The 21,708-nt window shown below is 36.8% G+C and overlaps 1 protein-coding gene across 4 annotated transcripts in view, besides 2 other annotated features; it reads left to right on the top strand.

Moving 5' to 3' along the window:
• Nucleotides 753-1,314: an enhancer, noted in NCBI's record as "NANOG-H3K27ac-H3K4me1 hESC enhancer chr12:21572391-21572952 (GRCh37/hg19 assembly coordinates)". NCBI's record gives its function as "activates a minimal SCP1, AML or CMV promoter by ChIP-STARR-seq in naive and primed H9 embryonic stem cells {active_cell/tissue: H9 hESC(naive and primed)}" and the evidence as "EXISTENCE:reporter gene assay evidence [ECO:0000049][PMID:30033119]".
• Nucleotides 1,137-21,708, top strand: part of SLCO1A2 (solute carrier organic anion transporter family member 1A2) — a 155,035-nt gene continuing 134,463 nt past the window's right edge. For 3 of the 4 annotated variants that reach the window (XM_011520819.2, NM_001386878.1, XM_024449138.2), the window contains exon 1: nt 17,120-17,352. The gene's annotated coding sequence lies outside the window, so the exon portion shown is untranslated. Of the gene's footprint in view, nt 1,220-1,450; nt 1,595-2,825; nt 2,890-17,119; nt 17,353-21,708 lie in introns of those variants that run through there. The other variant, NM_001386881.1, reaches the window with a different exon arrangement.
• Nucleotides 3,538-4,039: an enhancer, noted in NCBI's record as "NANOG hESC enhancer chr12:21569666-21570167 (GRCh37/hg19 assembly coordinates)". NCBI's record gives its function as "activates a minimal SCP1, AML or CMV promoter by ChIP-STARR-seq in primed H9 embryonic stem cells {active_cell/tissue: H9 hESC(primed)}" and the evidence as "EXISTENCE:reporter gene assay evidence [ECO:0000049][PMID:30033119]".

Raw genomic sequence — 21,708 nt, 5'->3', positions numbered from 1 at the left:
GACAATTATGTGTCTTGGAGTTGCTCTTCTCGAGGAGTATCTTTGTGGCATTCTCTGTATTTCCTGAATCTGAACGTTGGCCTGCCTTGCTAGATTGGGGAAGTTCTCCTGGATAATATCCTGCAGAGTGTTTTCCAACTTGGTTCCATTCTCCCCATTACTTTCAGGTACACCAATGAGACGTAGATTTGGTCTTTTCACATAGTCCCATATTTCTTGGAGGCTTTGCTCATTTCTTTTTATTCTTTTTTCTCTAAACTTCCCTTCTCACTTCGTTTCATTCATTTCATCTTCCATCGCTGATACCGTTTCTTCCAGTTGATCGCATCGGCTCCTGAGGCTTCTGCATTCTTCACGTAGTTCTCAAGCCTTGGTTTTCAGCTCCATCAGCTCCTTTAAGCACTTCTCTGTATTGGTTATTCTAGTTATACATTCTTCTAAATTTTTTTCAAAGTTTTCAACTTCTTTGCCTTTGGTTTGAATGTCCTCCCGTAGCTCAGAGTAATTTGATCGTCTGAAGCCTTCTTCTCTCAGCTCGTCAAAGTCATTCTCCGTCCAGCTTTGTTGCATTGCTGGTGAGGAACTGCGTTCCTTTGGAGGAGGAGAGGCGCTCTGCTTTTTAGAGTTTCCAGTTTTTCTGTTCTGTTTTTTCCCCATCTTTGTGGTTTTATCTACTTTTGGTCTTTGATGATGGTGATGTACAGATGGGTTTTTGGTGTGGATGTCCTTTCTGTTTGTTAGTTTTCCTTCTAACAGACAGGACCCTCAGCTGCAGGTCTGTTGGAGTACCCTGCCATGTGAGGTGTCAGTGTGCCCCTGCTGGGGGGCTGCAGCCCAGTTAGGCTGCCCGGGGGTCAGGGGTCAGGGACCCACTTGAGGAGGCAGTCTGCCCGTTCTCAGATCTCCAGCTGCGTGCTGGGAGAACCACTGCTCTCTTCAAAGCTGTCAGACAGGGACATTTAAGTCTGCAGAGGTTACTGCTGTCTTTTTGTTTGTCTGTGCCCTGCCCCCAGAGGTGGAGCCTACAGAGGCAGGCAGGCCTCCTTGAGCTGTGGTGGGCTCCACCCAATTCGAGCTTCCCAGCTGCTTTGTTTACCTAATCAAGCCTGGGCAATGGCGGGCGCCCCTCCCCCAGCCTCATTGCCGCCTTGCAGATTGATCTCAGACTGCTGTACTAGCAATCAGCGAGACTCCGTGGGCGTAGGACCCTCAGAGCCAGGTGCGGGATATAGTCTCGTGCTGCACCATTTTTTAAGCCCGTCAGAAAAGCAGGGTATTCGGGTGGGAGTGACCCGATTTTCCAGGTGCCGTCCGTCACCCCTTTCTTTGACTCAGAAAGGGAACTCGCTGACCCCTTGTGCTTCCCAAGTGAGGCAATGCCTCGCCCTGCTTCGGCTCGCGCACGGTGCACGCACCCACTGACCTGCGCCCACTATCTGACACTCCCTAGTGAGATGAACCCGGTACCTCAGATGGAAATGCAGAAATCACCCGTCTTCTGCGTCGCTCACGCTGGGAGCTGTAGACCGGAGCTGTTCCTATTCGGCCATCTTGGGGGAGCTCGAGATTATTAACCAAAAAATTTCCTGTCCAAGTAAGCTGCTCTTTCCTGGTCCTTTGGCTGAAGAAACCAAAGAGGCTTTATTTGTCTGTGCCTATTGGTATTTCTGGGTTAAATAGTAACCAGAGTCTTCCTATGTTTAATTTTATATGTAATATCCTGAATTATTAGCCTCACATAGTGGGAGAAATAGGGAAAAGTATATCTATTTCATCTTCCCAGAGCTGGAACACATTGTATTTTATACAATTTTTGTGTGCTACTAAATATTATTCTTAATTTTTTTCAATAATTTAAAAATATAAAAACTATTCTTAGTTCACAGGCCATACAAAAATAGATCATAAGCCAAATTTTGCCTACAGGTGGTAGTTTGCTAATCCCCTGTTCTAGACCATCACTACTAATAGTAGAAACCCCCTTACTTCTTTAAGTTTGTATACATGACTGATATGGTTTGGCTGTGTCTGCATCCAAATCTCATCTTGAGTTGTAGCTCCCATAATTCCCACACGTTGTTGGAGGGACCCGGTGGGAGATAATTGAATCACGGGGCAGTTTCCATCATACTGTTCTCGTGGTAGTGAATAAGTCTCATGAGATCTGATGGTTTTATAAGGGGTTTTCCCTTTCACTTGGCTCTCATTCTCTCTTGTCTGCCGCAATCTAAGACATGCCTTTTGCCTTCCATCATGATTATGAGGCCTCCCTAGCCACATGTAACTGTGAATTCACTAAACCTCTTTTTCTTTATAACCTACCCAGTCTCAGGTATGTCATTATCAGCAGTGTGAAAATGAACTAATACAATGACTGTTCAATACTCTGTGCCTGAGGTTTCTAACACCTGCAGTTCTCAGTAATCTGATTCTGTTTGTTATTTACTTCTCTCAAAAGATTTGTCTTTCCATTGTGTTGGAGCTGATTATTTGATCTTAATCATATATGTAAATTGAGGAACATTTTTCTGCAGACAGGAAGAATTTTCTTCTGCTTCTATTGATATCCAGGGGCACCACTAACATGGAATCTTTTCTCTAGATTTTGGCTCAGTGCGCAAGTCTCATGTTTAGCTTCCCTTTGTTGCCTCTGGCCTAAGGTGTAGTATCCAAATCCTAGTATTGCTCTTTTGTCTTCATCCTTCAGAGCAACCCAGGTGCAGGTCAGGTGTGGGGATGAGGATATAAAGTTTTAGGATATTTTTAGACCTCCCCTACCTCAATAGAGACCCATGGTGTGTTGTAAAAGTGTGTTTTCTTTACAGAAGCTGTGTTCTTTAGTGGGAAAGTCTTGCAGAACTCCCCTCTGAACTAATACTGGAAGCAAAGGTCAGTGTTCCATTTCTACAATTCTATTTGACTCTCCTTACATTTTAATATATATGTACATTATATTTTTCTAATGGGATCTAAAGTTTGTCAGTGTTTTGACCATTCTCCCAAACAGTTTAGGAAACTTCGTGATTTAACTTTTTGACATCCACCAAATCCCATCTTCTACATAATTTTTGTCATCGAGTCTATTAGTTCCATATAGGTTTAATTTTTTATGTTTTATTTTAAATTGACTTTTAATAAATTATTCATGTATAAATTGCCTGCAAATAATTTTATAAGATTTACAACAAAAATAATAATCCCCTTTGTCACTTTTTCCCATTTCCAAATTCCCCTCTTTTAAGGCAATTATTTTCAATATTTTTCATTTCTTCTGGTATTGCCTCTTTTTAAAAGAAAATCTAAGTAACGGCCTTCTGCTTTTTATCTAGTATGAAATATGTAATTTAAAAAATCTACTATGAAAGATGTAACTTAAAAAAATAGCTTTCTTAAATAACATACTTCCCCATCTATTCATTACTCCTTTTGAAAACATCTTAATATAGTCCCTTATAATTTTGATTAAATCAGTATTCAATGTTTATATAATTATGACTATGTAAATATTATTCTTAGCTGATTCATATATTGTGGTATAATTACATTTCTTGTACAACTTTTTGTTTTTCTTGTAATTAAAATTGCCTTGCTTTTTTTCTTTGCTTAGTTTTCTTTGTTTCTTTCACTAGTTTCTTCCCAAATCTTCTAGAAAAAGTGAAGTCATATCAGGAATATTGAAAAAGAATACATTGAGTACCACTGTGTGCTACTTACTGCATTCATGGAGCTTACGTTCTAGATCAGTAGGTTCAAAGACTCAACATTCTCAATCACTGAGTTCAAATACTTAACATTCCAGCTTAATACATTCAACAAATACTAGGTTTGATTTTTCCTTGGAAATTTCCTTTTGAGAGACATTTATCCTCCTGATCCAATTAAACTGTTGCTCCCCATTTTTGCTGCACAGTAATTTCTTTTCATTCTCATTCCAGAAATTCTATTCATTTGAGTAAGATCCTTTGTTTCCTGAATTCAATGATGTATTTTTTTTCTTGGTTGACTCCTTCATTTGTGATGAGGATGCTCAGCCAAATAAAAATGTGGGGCCCTTTGTTCAAAACTCCTGTGTTAATCAGTAGTGGAATTGCTCCTGTGAATAGTCAGTGCCCTTTAGCCTGTCCGATGTCATGAGACCCTGTCTCTTAAAAAAAAAAAGTTAAACAAGACCAGCCTGCAGACAATTAAACCAAGCATGACACCCTCAGTGAGCATGAGCAGGTCACACATACCCACGAAGCTAGCTCGGTTCTCAAGTTTGGGGAATTACAATGTTAAAAAAAAAATCCTCCTAATGATATAATGTTTATACTTGGGAACAAATAATTGAAATATAAACTTGATCTGTGGAGTTATTTGGGAGAGCGAGTGATTTATTGTCTTTTGTGTGTGTGTGTGTGTGTGTGTGTGTGTGCCCGAGATTCTATAGTGAATCTTCATTCATTATTTCCCTTTCCTGATTTAATTGTGACTGACAGAAAATGAAGTCTGGTCTTCCTTCCCAGCATTGCCTGACAGATTAGCCAATATTTCCAAGGTAAAATGAGCTCCCAGACTCAAATAATAAGACATTTGAGAGCACAGCCATTTGAATTAAAAAATAACAGATTAGGTTACAGATACAAACAGAATCAGAATGTTAGAAGTTATAAAAAATTAAAGTAATAAACATAATAAAAAAGAAAAAGTATAGTTACTAACAATATGAGATAAGAACAATAAAACACCAAAAGAACAGAGGATACTATGTATAAAAAGTAATTGCATAATGAACACAGCAGATGGGATCAGTAGCAGAATGGATGAAGCTTGAGAATGAGGTATTGAAAGAGAATATCAGATGGAGAAAATCCTCCAGATGGAAGAAGCCAAGGACAAAAAGTAGGAAAATATAAAAGAGGAGCCAAGAGATGAGGAGGGTAATGGAAAAGTGCTAACTTTCTAGAATTAAAATATTTTACAAGTCTTTGTATTGAAAGAGCTTACAGAATGTTAAAAAAGAGAAATATGAAAAGCACATACACATATACTATAGTGAAATTCAAGACTAACAAAGACAAAGAAAAAATATAAAAACTTCCCAAGAGAATAAAAAAATTGACATGCAAAAGGATAAGAAAATATCAATCTCAGGTTCCTCAATTGCAACACTGGGGTCCACAATAAATGAAGCAATATTTTAAAACCATCACAGAAAAACATCTTAAATTTAATGTGAGCCAAATTGTTCTTCAGAAATGAGAGTATAATATAAAAATAATATTCTCAGGCAGACAAGATCTCAGGTTTGCCACACAAAAGCTCCTACTAAAAACAGTTTTAGATAAAATACTTAAATAAAAAGGAAGAAAAATCCAGGAAATATATGAAATATATGAGGTAAAGACGATTAAAAGAATAAACATTTGTTGCTGCTTTAAAAATTGCTAACTGCCCTTCTCCCCAAATATATTCACAAAAACCCAGATGCAAAGTTGAAAGTCTAGATAATGGTAGTATGGTAGGAATCAAGAGGATAGTTCTGGTCTCATTAAGGGGAAATAGAGATGTAAATTTTAAAATAAAGTAAGAAAGAATATAAAACAAAAAGTGGGACAAACTGAAATAATGAATTAAGATAATAACAGCAGGTCTAAGTATATCAATAATTAAAGAAAATAAGATTAGACTGAACTCACCAGTTAAAAGATACGGTTTGATAAGTAAATAATCCAAATGTGTACCAAAAAGATAAGAACATTTAAAGATCAAAAGTAAAAATATGAAGAAAAGATACATCAGGCAAATGTTAGCCAAGTGAAAATTAGTGTAGTTATTCATATCCAATAAAATAGACTTTAAGGTACAAAATAATGATTAGGAATACAATATATCATCAAATAATAATAAGGATTCAATGCACTATGGAGGTGTAGGAATTTTAAGCCTTAAAATACTTGAATGCAAATTAATAATATGAGAGAAATGTTTATAAATCCAGGATTATACTAAAATTTCAGTACATCCTTTCATTATTGGTAAGTTAAATATGTAAAAGTTTGGAAATATTGAAAATATCTAAACACTAAAATATCTAAACAATACATGCAATGAACTTGATGTGATAGACAGGTATAGCATTTTTCTGCACCTAACATTTAGAGATGGCACATTTCTCTGAAGAAAGTGTGAGACATTTACAAAAGCTGATCAGAATCCAGGCAATAAAATAAGTTTGATAAATTAAAAAAAATCAAGCATCATTCAGATCCCAGTCTTTGAACACAATGCGATTAAGTTGGTTAATGGCAAAACATAAATACGAAATTCCACATATTTGGAAATTAAAAAAAATTAGTAAATAACTCACAGGTTAAGGAAAACATGATATGAAAATTAAAAATTATCTAGAACTAAATTATAAGAAAACACTACTTAGCAACATGTACTTCGAGAGAAACTTATAACTTTAAGAGCTTACATTGGAAAAGAAGAAATTAAAAAAAAAAAAAGAGGCTGGACGCAGTGGCTCAATCCTTTAATTCCAGCACTTTTGTTCCCAGAACAGAGCTGGGTCTGGCTGCATTCTCTCCTGGCCCAATAACGAAAAGCAGACAAACTAGGAAATAAGGGAATTTATTGCTATTGCTGGATACAGGGGGAAGGTTGGAGATAGTTCCGCCAGACCAACTCAAAGTGTTAGTTTTCTTAGTGCTTATATAGGTTGGGGATATGTGCCTATGTGCAGTACAGCATTCGCCTAAATCTATAGGTAACTAATTTTGTTTCAACTAGAAGGTCAGAGGGAAACAAACAAACAAACAAAAAGCTTGCTAAGTCCAGTGAAGCTGTGAGGGCTCCAGTACTTTCAAGGCCTGTCTGCTGTGGTACCGGAGTGATTATTTCTAGCTTATCTTCTTTACAGCTTGATCTGGAGAGCTGTCTTAGACTCTCCAGTAAATCTATTCAAACAGCCGCCTCTGTTACCGTGACTCATCTCAAATATTGTCGACCCGAGATGGGTCCTGGCGCTAGGAATGTAAGGCTGTCTCTATTATTTTGACTTGCTCCAGCAAGGGAGAAGGCTATGCGAGGCTCCTGATGACCATGTTTTCATTTCTAGCTTTGATGTCTGGGCACTGATTTCCCTAGGTTTAACTATTTGCTCAATGTTAAGGCAGCTCTGTGGAAATTTGTCTATGTAACTGGAGTGCTATGCAGGCCTGTCTGTGTGACTGTCATGCAGACCTGTCTGTGGGATTGTCAGGGAGAATTGGACTGCCACGCTTTGGGAGGCCGAGGCAGGTGGATTGCTTGAGGCCAGGAGTTGGAGACCAGCCTGGCCAACATGGAGAAACCCTGTCTCTACTAAAAATACAAAAATTAGCCAGGCATGGTGGCGCGCGCCTGTAGTCCCACCTACTCAGGAGGCTGAGGCAGGAGAATTACTTGAACCCAGGAGGAGGTGGAGGTTGCAGTGAACAGAGAATGTGCCACTGCTTTCCAGCCTGGGAGATAGAGGGAGGGTCCTTCTCAAAAAAAAAAAAAAAAAAAGAAAAAGAAAAAGAAAAGAAGAAAGTATTACAATCAGTTAACTAGGTATCTATCTTAAGAAGTCATAAACACAAAACGATAGCACAAATAATATAGGAAGAAAGGAATATGTGCACATATATACCAAAATCAAAAAAAATAATACAAAAATAAAATTAAGAGGCACACAAATATTTCTGGAACATCATTTATTGGAGTATACTTTGGTGGATAGAAATTCTAACAGATGAGCAGGTCCCCTATCGTCTAGGCATTCTACACATATCTGGCAGAACTGGGTACCAGATTTGGGGAGAGGACTTCTGGCTTTGGACTGCCAAGGAAGCACAAGTCCCTTTCCTGATTTATTGAAGTGATGGAGTCTAAGTGTACAGGTCATAGCACCGTGACCTGGCAGCATTTTTATCTATATCCTTATTCCTTGATCATGGCATTTATTAATGAGGGAACACCAGTACTTCCTTTGTCATGGTGAGGGGCTAAGATTCAAACCTTCTAGAACCTGAGGCCTTCACTTTAACACTCTACAAGATTGATTGCCTTAAGTACTAAACAGTAGCTAGTTTCCAGTGGAGCATTGTGGGAGGTACCTTGCAGGGAATCAGTCTTGGACAAATTTACTCTTACCTTTCAAAGGTGAAGAAAGGCAAATATTTGGTCTTTTAAAAACCTAACAAAATAGACAAATTCATAAGTGCAATTAATCACATTAATAGACTACAAATATCATTTCATAAACATTTGATACAATTTAATAACTAATCATGATAAACATTCAAAGTAACTTAGAAGGAAAAGGATCTTGACCTGAGAAGTCTCTATGAAATGATACTTCATAGATATACCTTTTTTTTTCTTGAGATGGAGTCTCACTCTATCACCAGGCTGGAGTGTAGTGGTGCAATCTCGGCTCACTGCAACCTCTGCCTCCCAGGTTCAAGCGATTCTCCCACCTCAGCCTCCCAAGTAGCAGGGACTACAGGCGCCCGCCACCATGCCCAGCTAATTTTTGTATTTTTAGTAGGGATGGGGTTTCTCCATGTTGGTTAGGCTGGTCTCAAACTCCTGACCTCAGGTGATCCGCCCGCCTTGGCCTCCCAAAGTGCTGGGATTACAGGCATAAGCCACCGCGCCCAGTCTTCATAGATATTACAAAACATATTTGATATCTCTATAGGTAACATTATAATACTTTTTAAAACATATTAAGAAAATACTAAATCCTAAATAGATATATCATGTTCATGGATGAAACTTAGTATCATACTGATGGCCAGGCACAGTGGCTCACACCTACAGTCCCAGCACTTTGGGAGGCTAAGGTGGGCTGATCTCTTGAGCTCAGGCAATATGGCAAAACCCCGTCTCTACAAAAAAATGCAAAAAATTAGCTGGGCGTGGTGGAGTGTGCCTGTAGTCCCAGCTACTTGGGTGGCTGAGGTGAGAGGATCACCTGAGCCCAGGAGGTTCTCAAAGCTGCAGTGAGCTGATTGTGCCACTGCACTCTAGCCTGGGCAATGGAGTGAAACCTTGTCTCAAAAAAAAAAAAATTATACTGATGACATTTCTTCCCAAATTGATCTGTAGCTTCAATGTAAGTAACGGTCATAAAATTTGATAAGATTATTCCCACTTTACACAGTCAAGTAAAAGGTCACAAACAGAACACTTCTAAAGGGAAGTCTGTGAGGGGTGGATTGGGATTATATCTACTGGATTCTAATGCTTATGATAAAGCCATAACAATTAACACAGTGTGAGGATAGATAAATTGACACAGTGTAATAGAATGAGCCCAGAAACAGGTCGAAATATGTTTGGGATTTTGGTATATGATCACAGTCGCATGAGAGATCAAGGAGGAAAAGAGATTGGAGCTGGAAGAAGCATATCTATATGGAAAAAGATAATATTGAATTTCTATTTCATATCATATACAAAAAATAAACTCCAGGTAGATTAAAGATTTACATATCAAAAAAAATTTCCAAACATCTTTTAAAAATTTAGAGTTCTGTTTTTTAACAACTTTAGGCAGGGTAAGATTTCTTAAACCAGTAACAAATAAACATTGGCTACAAGAGAAAAAATTTAAAATTTTGACTGTACTAAAAGCAAGGATTTTTTTTTCTTCCTCAGGCCCAAGATGGCTACTGAAAAAGCAAGAATTTTTGTTTATCAAAAGCCAACATAAAGAATGAAATTACAAATAACACAGTGGGAGCAAGTATTTACAATGCACAAAACTAACAGGTTACAATTAATAATACACAAAGAATCTTTACTCGTTAATAAAAAGAGGACAAATAACCCAATAGAATAACAGACAAGATAAATGAACAGGCACATCAGAGAGAAGAAATGCAAATAGCCAATAAACATATGAAGAAAATGTTTACTCTCTTTAATGATCAGAGAAATACACATTGAAATAATGAGATGTAATTTTATACCTAACCATTTGACAAAAATAAAAACCTTGAAAATATCAGTATATTTAAATAACACCGACACATTACTGCTGAGAGCATAAATTGGTATCACTACTAGAATACAGTTTGGATTTGCCTCTTAGAGTTGAGCATTAACACACCATTTGATGCACCATTTCACAGGCAAGTCTATTCCCAGAAGAAACTTTTGCACTTACATAGTAGGAGCTGTTCTAAATAGCAAAACCCAAAGAACAATCCAAAAGCTCATTAAAGGGAAAATTAGATGACTACATTGTGGTGCATTTGCCCAGTATACTATTCTACAGCTATATCAATAAATTAATGAGAATTATATAATAATGTGGATGAATGGATAGTTACAATGTGGATGAATGATAGCAATGAGTGAGAAAAATGTTCCCTCAAGTTATATATAGCCTCGATCTCTCTATATATAAAGTTTAAAGCAATTAAACACACATACACACAGGCACACATGCATTCTGTCTCTCTCTCTCTCTCTTTAGGAATATGCATAAATGCAATTGCAAAACTATATAAAATTGAAAGTAAGGGAATGATAAGCGGAAGACTAGTGATGGACTCAAGATTGATCTAGAGATTTCCTCAGACTGGAGGAGATAGGTGGTGGGTTAGTGGGGGAAGCCAGACTCTTAGATTTGGTTTATTGACAAAGTTTTAGATTTCATAAATAAAAGTATACCATGCCTGAAAAAGAACAAGGGGGTGATCCAAGGATTATGATTAATTCAATGTTATGCTCCTGAGAGCCATTAAATAAAATATTCTCCAAATGAAGGATTTCCTGGAGAGCTTACTTTCCACATTTTAAAAATAGAGCACAAAAAAATAGAGCACAGGAAAAAATGTATGGGACACCACACCTGACAAATTAATGCTCATTGAGATGAAAGAACTTGTGTAATGGGGTGAAGAGAACACACATAATGTGTTTGATGTTTAGAGTGATATAGCAGGATGTGCAGACTCTGAAGGAAGACTGTGTACCATACAGCTCAAATATACGACTGTGATCTCAGAGGTTGTTTTCAAAGACAAGAATGGTAGATGTGTCACCATAGACATGTGAATTCATCTTAATACTTTGCATTGGGATTTATCCATTTAGCCATAGGTCCCAATTTTGACTAGAGCTTCTGCAGTCACTACCACAAACTGGCCACTACTGCTACCAGAAGCATTGTTTTGCACCAGAGATCAGCAAATTTTTCCATAAAGGTCTAAATATAATATTATTATATTACAAATATTTTAGGCTTTGTTAGATGTAATATCACTGTTTCAAATATCCAAATCTACCTTGTATTTGTGAAAGGAGCCATAGATAAAATTTGAATGATTGAACGTGGCTGTGTTCCAGTAAAAACTCTAATTACAAAATCAGGTGGCAGGCCAGATTCTACCCACAGGCTGACCCTAGTTTTATACTATCTATCCAATAGTTGGTCTTTGTATCTTATAGAGGCGGAATATGAATACGACATGTTGCCAATATGATGAGATGGTCTTTATCCCATGTCTTAGAGTTTAATGAGTTATACCACAACAGTTGCTTCATCTTCCAATATGAAAAGAAGCAAAACCTCAGGATCCACCCTACAGGAGTCCCTCCAACAGAATTATCATCAAGTGACACTATCTCCAGAGTTACGAATTTGAGATGAGAAGCAAACAGTAACAGAATTTGAAAAGAAGATTCTCAGTTTTCTTTGGGAACTAAAACTTGGTTGCTTTTAGAACCCAGGATACCTTTCTGAGGGTGATCCACAAACTCTGTCTACCTCTGCCGCCTTTTTATAAGTTTGGCACAATTTGAAAGTTTTATTCTACCAGCCTTTAAAAAGTTTTATTCTACCAGTTATTTGGAAGTTGTTTTAGAAGAGCGTTGGGGATGTTTGGTGGTCTTTGGACATAAGTTTCTCCATCCTATTTGTTAGGATGGACAACAAGCTCACTTTTTGCCGTGACTATTCTCTGTCTTATCTATAAGTGCGTGTGTGCGGGAGCACGTACACACACACACACACACACACACACACACACACACGCATGCGCTGAGGCAGCCAAACATCTTCATAGCTGCTTCCCTGATGTATATGCTTGCCTAGAACTTTTACTTGCCAGCTTACAGGACTAGTATCTTCAACATGATACTGAGTTTCATCAACAGAGAAGGGGACTGGGACACTTTTCGTTGGGCAGTTGCGGATTTCTGGTAGACTCACTGGCAAATTGAAGAGGAGTATGAGCACAGGTCTTTAAGTACAACATTATGTGTGGTAAAGTAGTACTGAAAGTTAAGAAATCGCATTGAATATTGGGAGTAGAGTGAGGGTCAACAGTGACAACTTAAAGGACTCTATGTTTCACTGTTGCTGAGGGAGGAATGATGACCTTGGGTAGATATTTATTCAAAGAAGAGTATTGTTTCTGATTAAAAAAAAGAGGGAGGTTGATAGACACAAAGAAGCAAGGAAAGAATGTGTTTTTATGACTAAGGGACATTATCAGTGTTTTAGAAACACTTTATGCATGGTTAATAAATTCGTTTGTCATATAAAACAGGCATTTTTGTGTATTTTGGACAGGCCCATCTAAGTCACAGGAACATTATTTTGTGTAAAAATTTACCAGAGTAACTAAGGTACTAGGGAAAATAGTTTGGTGCCTTAACAACTCCTTATCTGAGGAGTTGCCACAGAATTTTCTAAACATTCCCCCTATAGAAAGACTTCCAGAAAAGCTCAGTCAGTAAACCTTTCAGGCTCTCTCCCAAATATGTTCTGAATGTGTGCAGATTTTTACTGTCAGTTGCACCAAACTTATACCCATTGACCATATCTTGCCTGGGCTTTTGCAGTAGCGATTTGGCTCTACTCTTCCTTCCCCTGGCCAGTCCTGTCTCCACAGAGCAGCCAAAGGCTTTTTTTTTTTTTTTTCATTTATTTTTATTTTCATTAGACAGGGTCTCTGTCACCCAGGTTGGGGTACAGTAGCACAATCTTGGCTCACTGCAGTCTTGACTTCCCAGGCTCAAGTGATCCTCCAGCTCAGCCTCCTGAGTAGGGAGTAGCTGGGACTACAGGCACTCACTACCATGCCTGGCTAATTTTTGTGTTTTTTGTAGACACAGGATTTCGCCATGTTGCTCAGGCTAGTCTTGAACTCCTGAGCTCAAGTGATTCGTCTGCCTTGGCCTCCCAAAGTGCTTGGATTATAGGCATATGCCACTGCACCTGGCCCAAATAGGCCTTTTGAAAACACAAATTTGATCAAGTAATTTTTCTGCTTCACACCCTCCTATGGATTCCCATTTCCAATAGAATATAATCCTAACTCCTTGCTGGGCATAGTGCAGTACATGACCTGGCCTCTGCTCAACGCTCCAACTGCATCTTGTTCCTCTTTCCCCTCGGTGAGGATAACTCTCTTTCTCCAACTACACCAACCTTCTTATCAAATATGCCAAGCTTGTTTCCTTCCATCCTAAGGCTTTTGCATTTGCTGATCCCCACGCTTGAAGGGCTCTGTCTCTAGATATTCACGTATTTTTTCCTTCTTATGCTTTGAATTTCATTTCAAGCATTATTTCATCAAGGATCTTTCCAGTCCACTCCCAAGCCCATCATTCTGTTTGATTTTCTTCAGAGCACTTTTGCCTTCCTGAAATTATTTTGTTAAATTGTTTCGTAAAAGCCTTGGATGATCTTGACAGAAGATGAAAAAGTGAAACAAGGAGGTAGGTATGGGTGGGAGCCAGGCATGGGGCCAGGGTGCTTTTGAACATACGCAATGTGTCTATGTTTTCTTTTGAGAAAAGATGGGATATATAAACTACCATATGTTTTCTGTGGTTTGGTTCTTCACTGCTTTGAACATTCTAACAGTTTATACATATTTCAACAAAAGAAAGAGAAAGAACATGCATCTGTCTCCAAAATTATTTTAAGTCTCTTTCACATCTATTTGCTAACCTAATATCAACTACTGAGAGGCAGTATAGTGTAGTGGTCTGAAGCTGACTGAATCCCCATTCTTCTGCTTACCAGCTGTGAAATCTTGGGGATGATAAAGCCTATCTGTACCTGTGTCCTATCTGTAAAAGTGGGATAACAATAGTACTTATCTTAAACATTTGTTGAGAGGATTACATTAGTTAACAGCCCTGTGTTCCTAGAATGACCTGTGGCACATCATAAATATTCAACAACTGTTAACTCTAATTTTTACCAGAGAATAGAAAACAATCCTGCCGCTTGAAGCTTCTCAAGAGAAATGAAAGATTGAAATTTCCATTTCCACTCCAGATGAGGTGGCAGGAGTGATCAGGGCTCCTCCCCTTACTTTTGAAGCCATTCCCAGGTTTTGTCCATAGAGCTTCACTACTGGCAGATGTTTTTCTGTCTGTCCTTCAAACTACTTAAATAGTTGGAAATAGTGAAAGAAGTCTCATCATCAGCAACTGAGAAGCAGTACAAGTAACATCTGAGAAATTCTAAAAGGGATTTTAGAAAAAAATGTTCTGACTTGGTTACCAAGTGTTGCGCGTGCATGCACGCATACACACACACACAGACACACAGACACACAGACACACACACATTTTAAATATATCTACTCATTCAACCTAGCAAAAGAAAAGGATTCCCTCTTAATCTTAATTGTTGACTTATTTTCTTTCTTCCTTCAACCAGACAAAATCCATGAGTAGTAATTTAGACTCTTTTGCTTATAACAATATCTCTAGGACCTAGAAATATTTGGCATGGAGTAGGTGCTCAATAAATATTTCTTGAATGAAATAACAACATCAGCAACTCTTTGAGGTAGGTGCTATGATTATCCTGTGGTATATGTTTAAAAATGAGGTTAATTAACTTGTCCAAGGTAACAGCTACTCATGCTAGTGCTGGGTTCAGCTAGTGCTTTTAAACATTCCATAGCATTGCATCTTGTTTCTCCCTTTAAAATATCAATCCACTTAAGTCTTTAGTCCATCTGGAGTTAATTTTTGTATAAGGTGTAAGGAAGGGGTCCAGTTTCAATTTTCTGCATATGGCTAGCCAGTTCTCCCAGCACCATTTATTAAATAGGAAATCATTTCAGGTTTGTCAAAGGTCAGATGGTTGTAGATGTGCGGTCTTGTTTCTGAGATCTCTTTTCTGTTCCTTGGTCGATGTGTCTGTTTTTGTACCAGTACCATGCTGTTTTGGTTACTGTAGCCTTGTAGCATAGTTTGAAGTTTGGGTATCATGATGCCTGAAGCTTTGTTCTTTTTGCTTAGGATTATCTTGGCTATATGTGTCTATACTTGTCTTTTTGGTTCCATATGAATTTTGAAGTAGTTTTTTTTCAAATTCTGTGAAAAATGTTAATGATAGTTTAAGACTCAAATGTAAAACCCAAAACTATAAAAACCCTAGGGGAAAATCTAGGCAATATTATTCAGGAGATAGGCAAGGGTAAAGATTTCATGATTAAAATGTCATAAGAAATTGCAACAAAAGCAAAAATTGACAAATGAGATCTAATTAAACTAAAGAGCTTCTGCACAGCAAAAGAAACTATCATCCGAGTGAACAGACAACCTACAGAATGGGAGAAAATTTTTGCAATCTATGCATCTTACAAAGGTCTAATATCCAGACTCTACAAGGAACTTAAATTTACAAAAAAAAAAAAGCCATTAAAAAGTGACCCAAGGACATGAACAGACACTTCTCGAAAGAAGATGTTTATGCGGCCAACAAACATTTTAAAAAGTTCAACATCGCTGATCATTAGAGAAATGCAAATCAAAACCACATTGAGATATCATCTCATGCCAGTCATAATGGTGATTATTAAAAAGTCAAGAAACAACAGATGCTGGAGAGGTTGTGGACAAATAGGAATGCTTTTACACTGTTGGTGGGAATGTAAATTGGTTCAATTATTGTAGAAGACACGGTGATAATTCCTCAAAGATCTAGAACCAGAAATACTATTTGAGCCAGCAATCCCTTTAGTGGGTATATATCCAAACAAACATAAATCATTCTGTTATAAAGATATATGCATGTGTGTGTTCATTGCAGCACTATTCACAATAGCAAAGACATGGAATCAACCCAAATGCCCATCAGTGATAGACTGGATAAAGAAAATGTGGTATATATACACCATGTAATACTACACAGCCATGAAAAGGAATGAGATCATGTCCTTTGCAGGGACATGGATGGAGCTGGAAGCCATTATCCTCAGCAAACTAATGCAGGAACAGAAAACTAAACACCACATGTTTCTCACTAATAGTGGGAGCTGAACAATGAGAATACATGGACACAGGGAGGGGACCAACACAAACTTGAGCCTGTCAGGGAGCAGGGAGGGAGAGCATCAGGATAAATAGCTAATGCACGTGGGGCTTAATACCTAGGTGACGGGTTGATAGGTGCAGCAAATCATCATGGCACATTTTTACCTATGTAACAAACCTGCATGCCCTGCACATGTATCCTGGAATAGAAAATAAAATAAAATAAAATAAATAAATCCAACTATCTTATCCACTCCATTACAAATTACACCTGGATATGACCACCTAATTACTTTACATAGCCCCTAATCTTTTACTCATCCCATCCAGCTAGAAAGTTACTGATACAATAATCTGTAGACACTGGTTTTCGCATCTCAGTCTACTGTTCAAAAATGTCAGTGGCATCCCATAGAAATGAATATCCTTGTCCGCATCAACTCTGTTTTCAAGCTTATTCCCGTTTTGGTGTCATTTTTTCTTAGATATCCAGCTACACTGAAAGTTGAACTCATGCTCAAATATATGTGTGTCAGTTTACTCAATGAGTACATTAACATATTATATTTGATTTACAAGACACTTGTTAAAGGTGCCTTAATCACGAAAGAAAAAATCTGAGAAAATTGAGGCTCAGCAAAGTTTAGTGCCATTAACTGAGGTTTTTCAACAGGGTATTGGAGCCAAAGCCACGTAAGAGTTAACTGTTTGAAAAAACAACCACCAAAAAAAAAAAAAAAAAAAAAAAGCAAGGAGGAGCCTCTGGTTCCAAGTGAGTACAGTAATCTTAGAACCTGTTCCCAAGATTATAACCTGCTTTATGCAACCATCAGAGCCAAAGAAACTTAACCAAAGGTTTAAAACTTACATAAACAAAGATTCTTTTATTTACAACTCTGCTTCTCTGATGAACAAGAAGCTGCAGCTTACACGTTTGAGGTGCCTTATTCATACTGGCTACTCAATATGTAATTTTTTAAAAAATCTGTTGGTCTTACAGTATGGAAGCAAAAATGAATGGTGATGTTGGTGAATGCTAAGGTAAAAGTCCTTCATTTATTTGGGTTGTTGTGGGTTGCAATTTAGTCATTTGTACTTGGAAAAATATAAGGAGATTTAATGCTTAGTTATAAGTATAAGATTCTTTGGGTTTTCTAATTATCTTGTTTATACATTCCTGACAGCAATGACAATTGTATTTAATGCAGGATTTGTTTTGTGCGGTAGTAATAATATTGTTTGTTTATGCATGCACAGATACAGATTTACATTTTGAGTTTTCAAATATGTAGTTACAAGTGGCTTGGAGCGTTAGAAGTACATTTAAATGATTCCGGATAATGTTGTTTTCCTCCTGCCTTGTCATTGGCCTGGAAAGTCCCTTTTTGTTTATCCAGTTCTTCCACAACCATCGTTCAAATTCTGATCAAGCCCCGTGTTCTTCACATGTCTCTCTCTCTCTGGAAATCTCAGAACATTAGTTGTCTATAACATACATATCTACACACTTAACACTCACATATACACATTCTACTGGAGTTTTCTTTTAAAATTCAAAAATGAGAACATTATTTTTTCAAAGCTAAGTAACAGAAGAGTATATAAAAAAGTCAATTTTGGGCGTATCTTTTTACATTTCTTTCTATGCTCATGTAAAACATACATGATTTATGTAATTATACACATATGCTCCCCCACAACCCTTAGTCACAAATACAGGATCATCATTACCTACATATGTGGACTTGTTGCTGTAATCATTTAACTATGAACTATGGACATCCCTCTAGGTCAGCATGTATATCTAAATCATGGTTAGTCCCTAAATCCTTAGATAAGAATATCTATTTCTGCAGAATGGATTTCCAAAAGTGGAATGCCAGAAACATTGTGTACTGCAATATGCAATCCCATCACTTCTCCACCCCATTCCATTGTATGTGATAAATCTTTCAAAAAATTTTTAATTAACTGTATGCAAAAATAAGGGTATTGTGCTACTTTTCAATCGCATTTCCTTAAATACCAGTGAGATTTAGCATCTTTTATAAAAAGATTATAATAATTTTTGTCTATTTGCATTTTCCTCTCTTATAAACCCCAGTTCATACAATTTACCCATGTTTGCTTTTTCTTTTCAATTTGCAGAAGTTCTCTATTTTACATTAGGGTTATAAAGCTCACCTCTCATATACGTTTCAAACATGTTCTCTATTTTTTAAAAACTTATTTATGGTACTTTTTGCCTTTGTATAAATCTGTACTATTAAAGAAGTAGACTCCACAATTTTTTTCCATTATAGTTTCTTGGTTTTTTTTTTTTGTCTTTTTTAAAAAAGTTTTTCTTTAACCTAACATTACTCTTATTTTTCACATAATTTTTACATTTTATTTTAACATTAAAATCCCTAATCCATTGCTCTTTTTCATCTTTAAACATGGATTATGCAGGAATATTACTATTTTCTTGCTGAATGAAGATCTAATTATAATTATAAAATCATTTACTAAAGAAGCTATACTTTCTCTGCTGAGCTATTATATATTTATTATGTATATGTATATTTCTGCTGAAGTGTTTATCATATAATACATTTTCATTTATATTTATATTGGATACAGTTATAAACTCAGTTTTGTACAGTAACTAGTACATTTTTTGTGGTCATAACATGTTATTGTAATCCAATTAATATCACAGAAGGCTTTAGTATCCTATGTCAGGTACCGATCATCTTTTTCAATATTTTTAGGTAAATCTTACATATTTATTCTTCCATATAAAATTTTAAGTCAAACAAAAAAGTAGAAATAAACAAAATATAAAATGATTAAAATTAAAAATCATTTAAAATTATAAAGGAAAATCCAAATAAAAATTAGTATCTCAATAAAATTATGATTAAAATTGCATTACATATTTATACTTATTTAGGAAAGATAAAGGTTTTAATAATATTATGGAGGTTTTTTGGTCCAGTAAGCATGATAATTTTTCTTAATTCATGCAAGATGACCTTCAATATAAAATTTTGTATTCTTCTTCATACAGTTGCACATTTTTGTTAAAGTTTTCTGGGGTACTTTATTGTTCGATTGTTATTGTGAATGATATTTTATTTTTATTTTAATTTTTGTATTATACTGCCAGCATAAAGAAAAGCCTTTGGTTTTATATATTTTGTATCATGTTGCTGTATCAAATTCTTTTATTAATTACAATATAGGAACTTTTTTGTGATTTACAAGTATTAGTAATTGTCTATAATTAAATATATTTTGTTTTTAATTTACTGTATTTATGTATTATTTTCATTTTCTCATTTTCTTGTATTAGCTAATGCAAGAAATACCACAACAGTGATGAATAATAATGATATTAGCTGGGAACCTTTATTTGTTCCTGATTTTTTTTTTGTCTTTTTTTTTATTATTATACTTTAAGTTTTAGGGTACATGTGCACATTGTGCAGGTTAGTTACATATGTATACATGTGCCATGCTGGTGAGCTGCACCCACTAACTTGTCATCTAGCATTAGGTATATCTCCCGATGCTATCCCTCCCCCCTCCCCCCACCCCACAACAGTCCCCAGAGTGTGATATTCCCCTTCCTGTGTCCATGTGATCTCATTGTTCAATTCCCACCTATGAGTGAGAATATACGGTGTTTGGTTTTTTGTTCTTGCGATAGTTTACTGAGAATGATGATTTCCAATTTCATCCATGTCCCTACAAAGGACATGAACTCATCATTTTTTATGGCTGCATAGTATTCCATGGTGTATATGTGCCACATTTTCTTAATCCAGTCTATCATTGTTGGACATTTGGGTTGGTTCCAAGTCTTTGCTATTGTGAATAGAGCCGCAATAAACATACATGTGCATGTGTCTTTATAGCAGCATGATTTATAGTCGTTTGGGTATATACCCAGTAATGGGATGGCTGGGTCAAATGGTATTTCTAGTTCTAGATCCCTGAGGAATCGCCACACTGACTTCCACAATGGTTGAACTAGTTTACAGTCCCACCAACAGTGTAAAAGTGTTCCTATTTCTCCACATCCTCTCCAGCATCTGTTGCTTCCTGACTTTTTAATGATTGCCATTCTAACTGGTGTGAGATGGTATCTCATTGTGGTTTTGATTTGCATTTCTCTGATGGCCAGTGATGATGAGCATTTTTTCACGTGTTTTTTAGCTGCATAAATGTCTTCTTTTGAGAAGTGTCTGTTCATGTCCTTCGCCCACTTTTTGATGGGGTTGTTTGTTTTTTTCTTGTAAATTTGTTTGAGCCCATTGTAGATTCTGGATATTAGCCCTTTGTCAGATGAGTAGGTTGCGAAAATTTCCTCCCATTTTGTAGGTTGCCTGTTCACTCTGATGGTAGTTTCTTTCGCTGTGCAGAAGCTCTTTAGTTTAATTAGATCCCATTTGTCAATTTTGTCTTTTGTTGCCATTGCTTTTGGTGTTTTAGACATGAAGTCCTTGCCAATGCCTATGTCCTGAATGGTAATGCCTAGCTTTTCTTCTAGGGTTTTTATGGTTTTAGGTCTAACGTTTAAGTCTTTAATCCATCTTGAATTGATTTTTGTATAAGGTGTAAGGAAGGGATCCAGTTTCAGCTTTCTACATATGGCTAGCCAGTTTTCCCAGCACCATTTATTAAATAGGGAATCCTTTCCCCATTGCTTGTTTTCCTCAGGTTTGTCAAAGATCAGATAGTTGTAGATATGTGGCGTTATTTCTGAGGGCTCTGTTTTGTTCCATTGATCTATATCTCTGTTTTGGTACCAGTACCATGCTGTTTTGGTTACTGTAGCCTTGTAGTATAGTTTGAAGTCAGGTAGTGTGATGCCTCCAGCTTTGTTCTTTTGGCTTAGGATTGACTTGGCGATGCGGGCTCTTTTTTGGTTCCATATGAACTTTAAAGTAGTTTTTTCCAATTCTGTGAAGAAAGTCATTGGTAGCTTGATGGGGATGGCATTGAATCTGTAAATTACCTTGGGCAGTATGGCCATTTTCACGATATTGATTCTTCCTACCCATGAGCATGGAATGTTCTTCCATTTGTTTGTATCCTCTTTTATTTCCTTGAGCAGTGGTTTGTAGTTCTCCTTGAAGAGGTCCTTCACATCCCTTGTAAGTTGGATTCCTAGGTATTTTATTCTCTTTGAAGCAATTGTGAATGGGAGTTCACTCATGATTTGGCTCTCTGTTTGTCTGTTGTTGGTGTATAAGAATGCTTGTGATTTTTGTACATTGATTTTGTATCCTGAGACTTTGCTGAAGTTGCTTATCAGCTTAAGGAGATTTTGGGCTGAGATGATGGGGTTTTCTAGATATACAATCATGTCATCTGCAAACAGGGACAATTTGACTTCCTCTTTTCCTA

Source organism: Homo sapiens, chromosome 12 (assembly GCF_000001405.40).
Source record: "Homo sapiens chromosome 12, GRCh38.p14 Primary Assembly".
NCBI lineage: Eukaryota > Metazoa > Chordata > Mammalia > Primates > Hominidae > Homo > Homo sapiens.
This window is presented reverse-complemented; position numbering and strand designations above follow the sequence as displayed.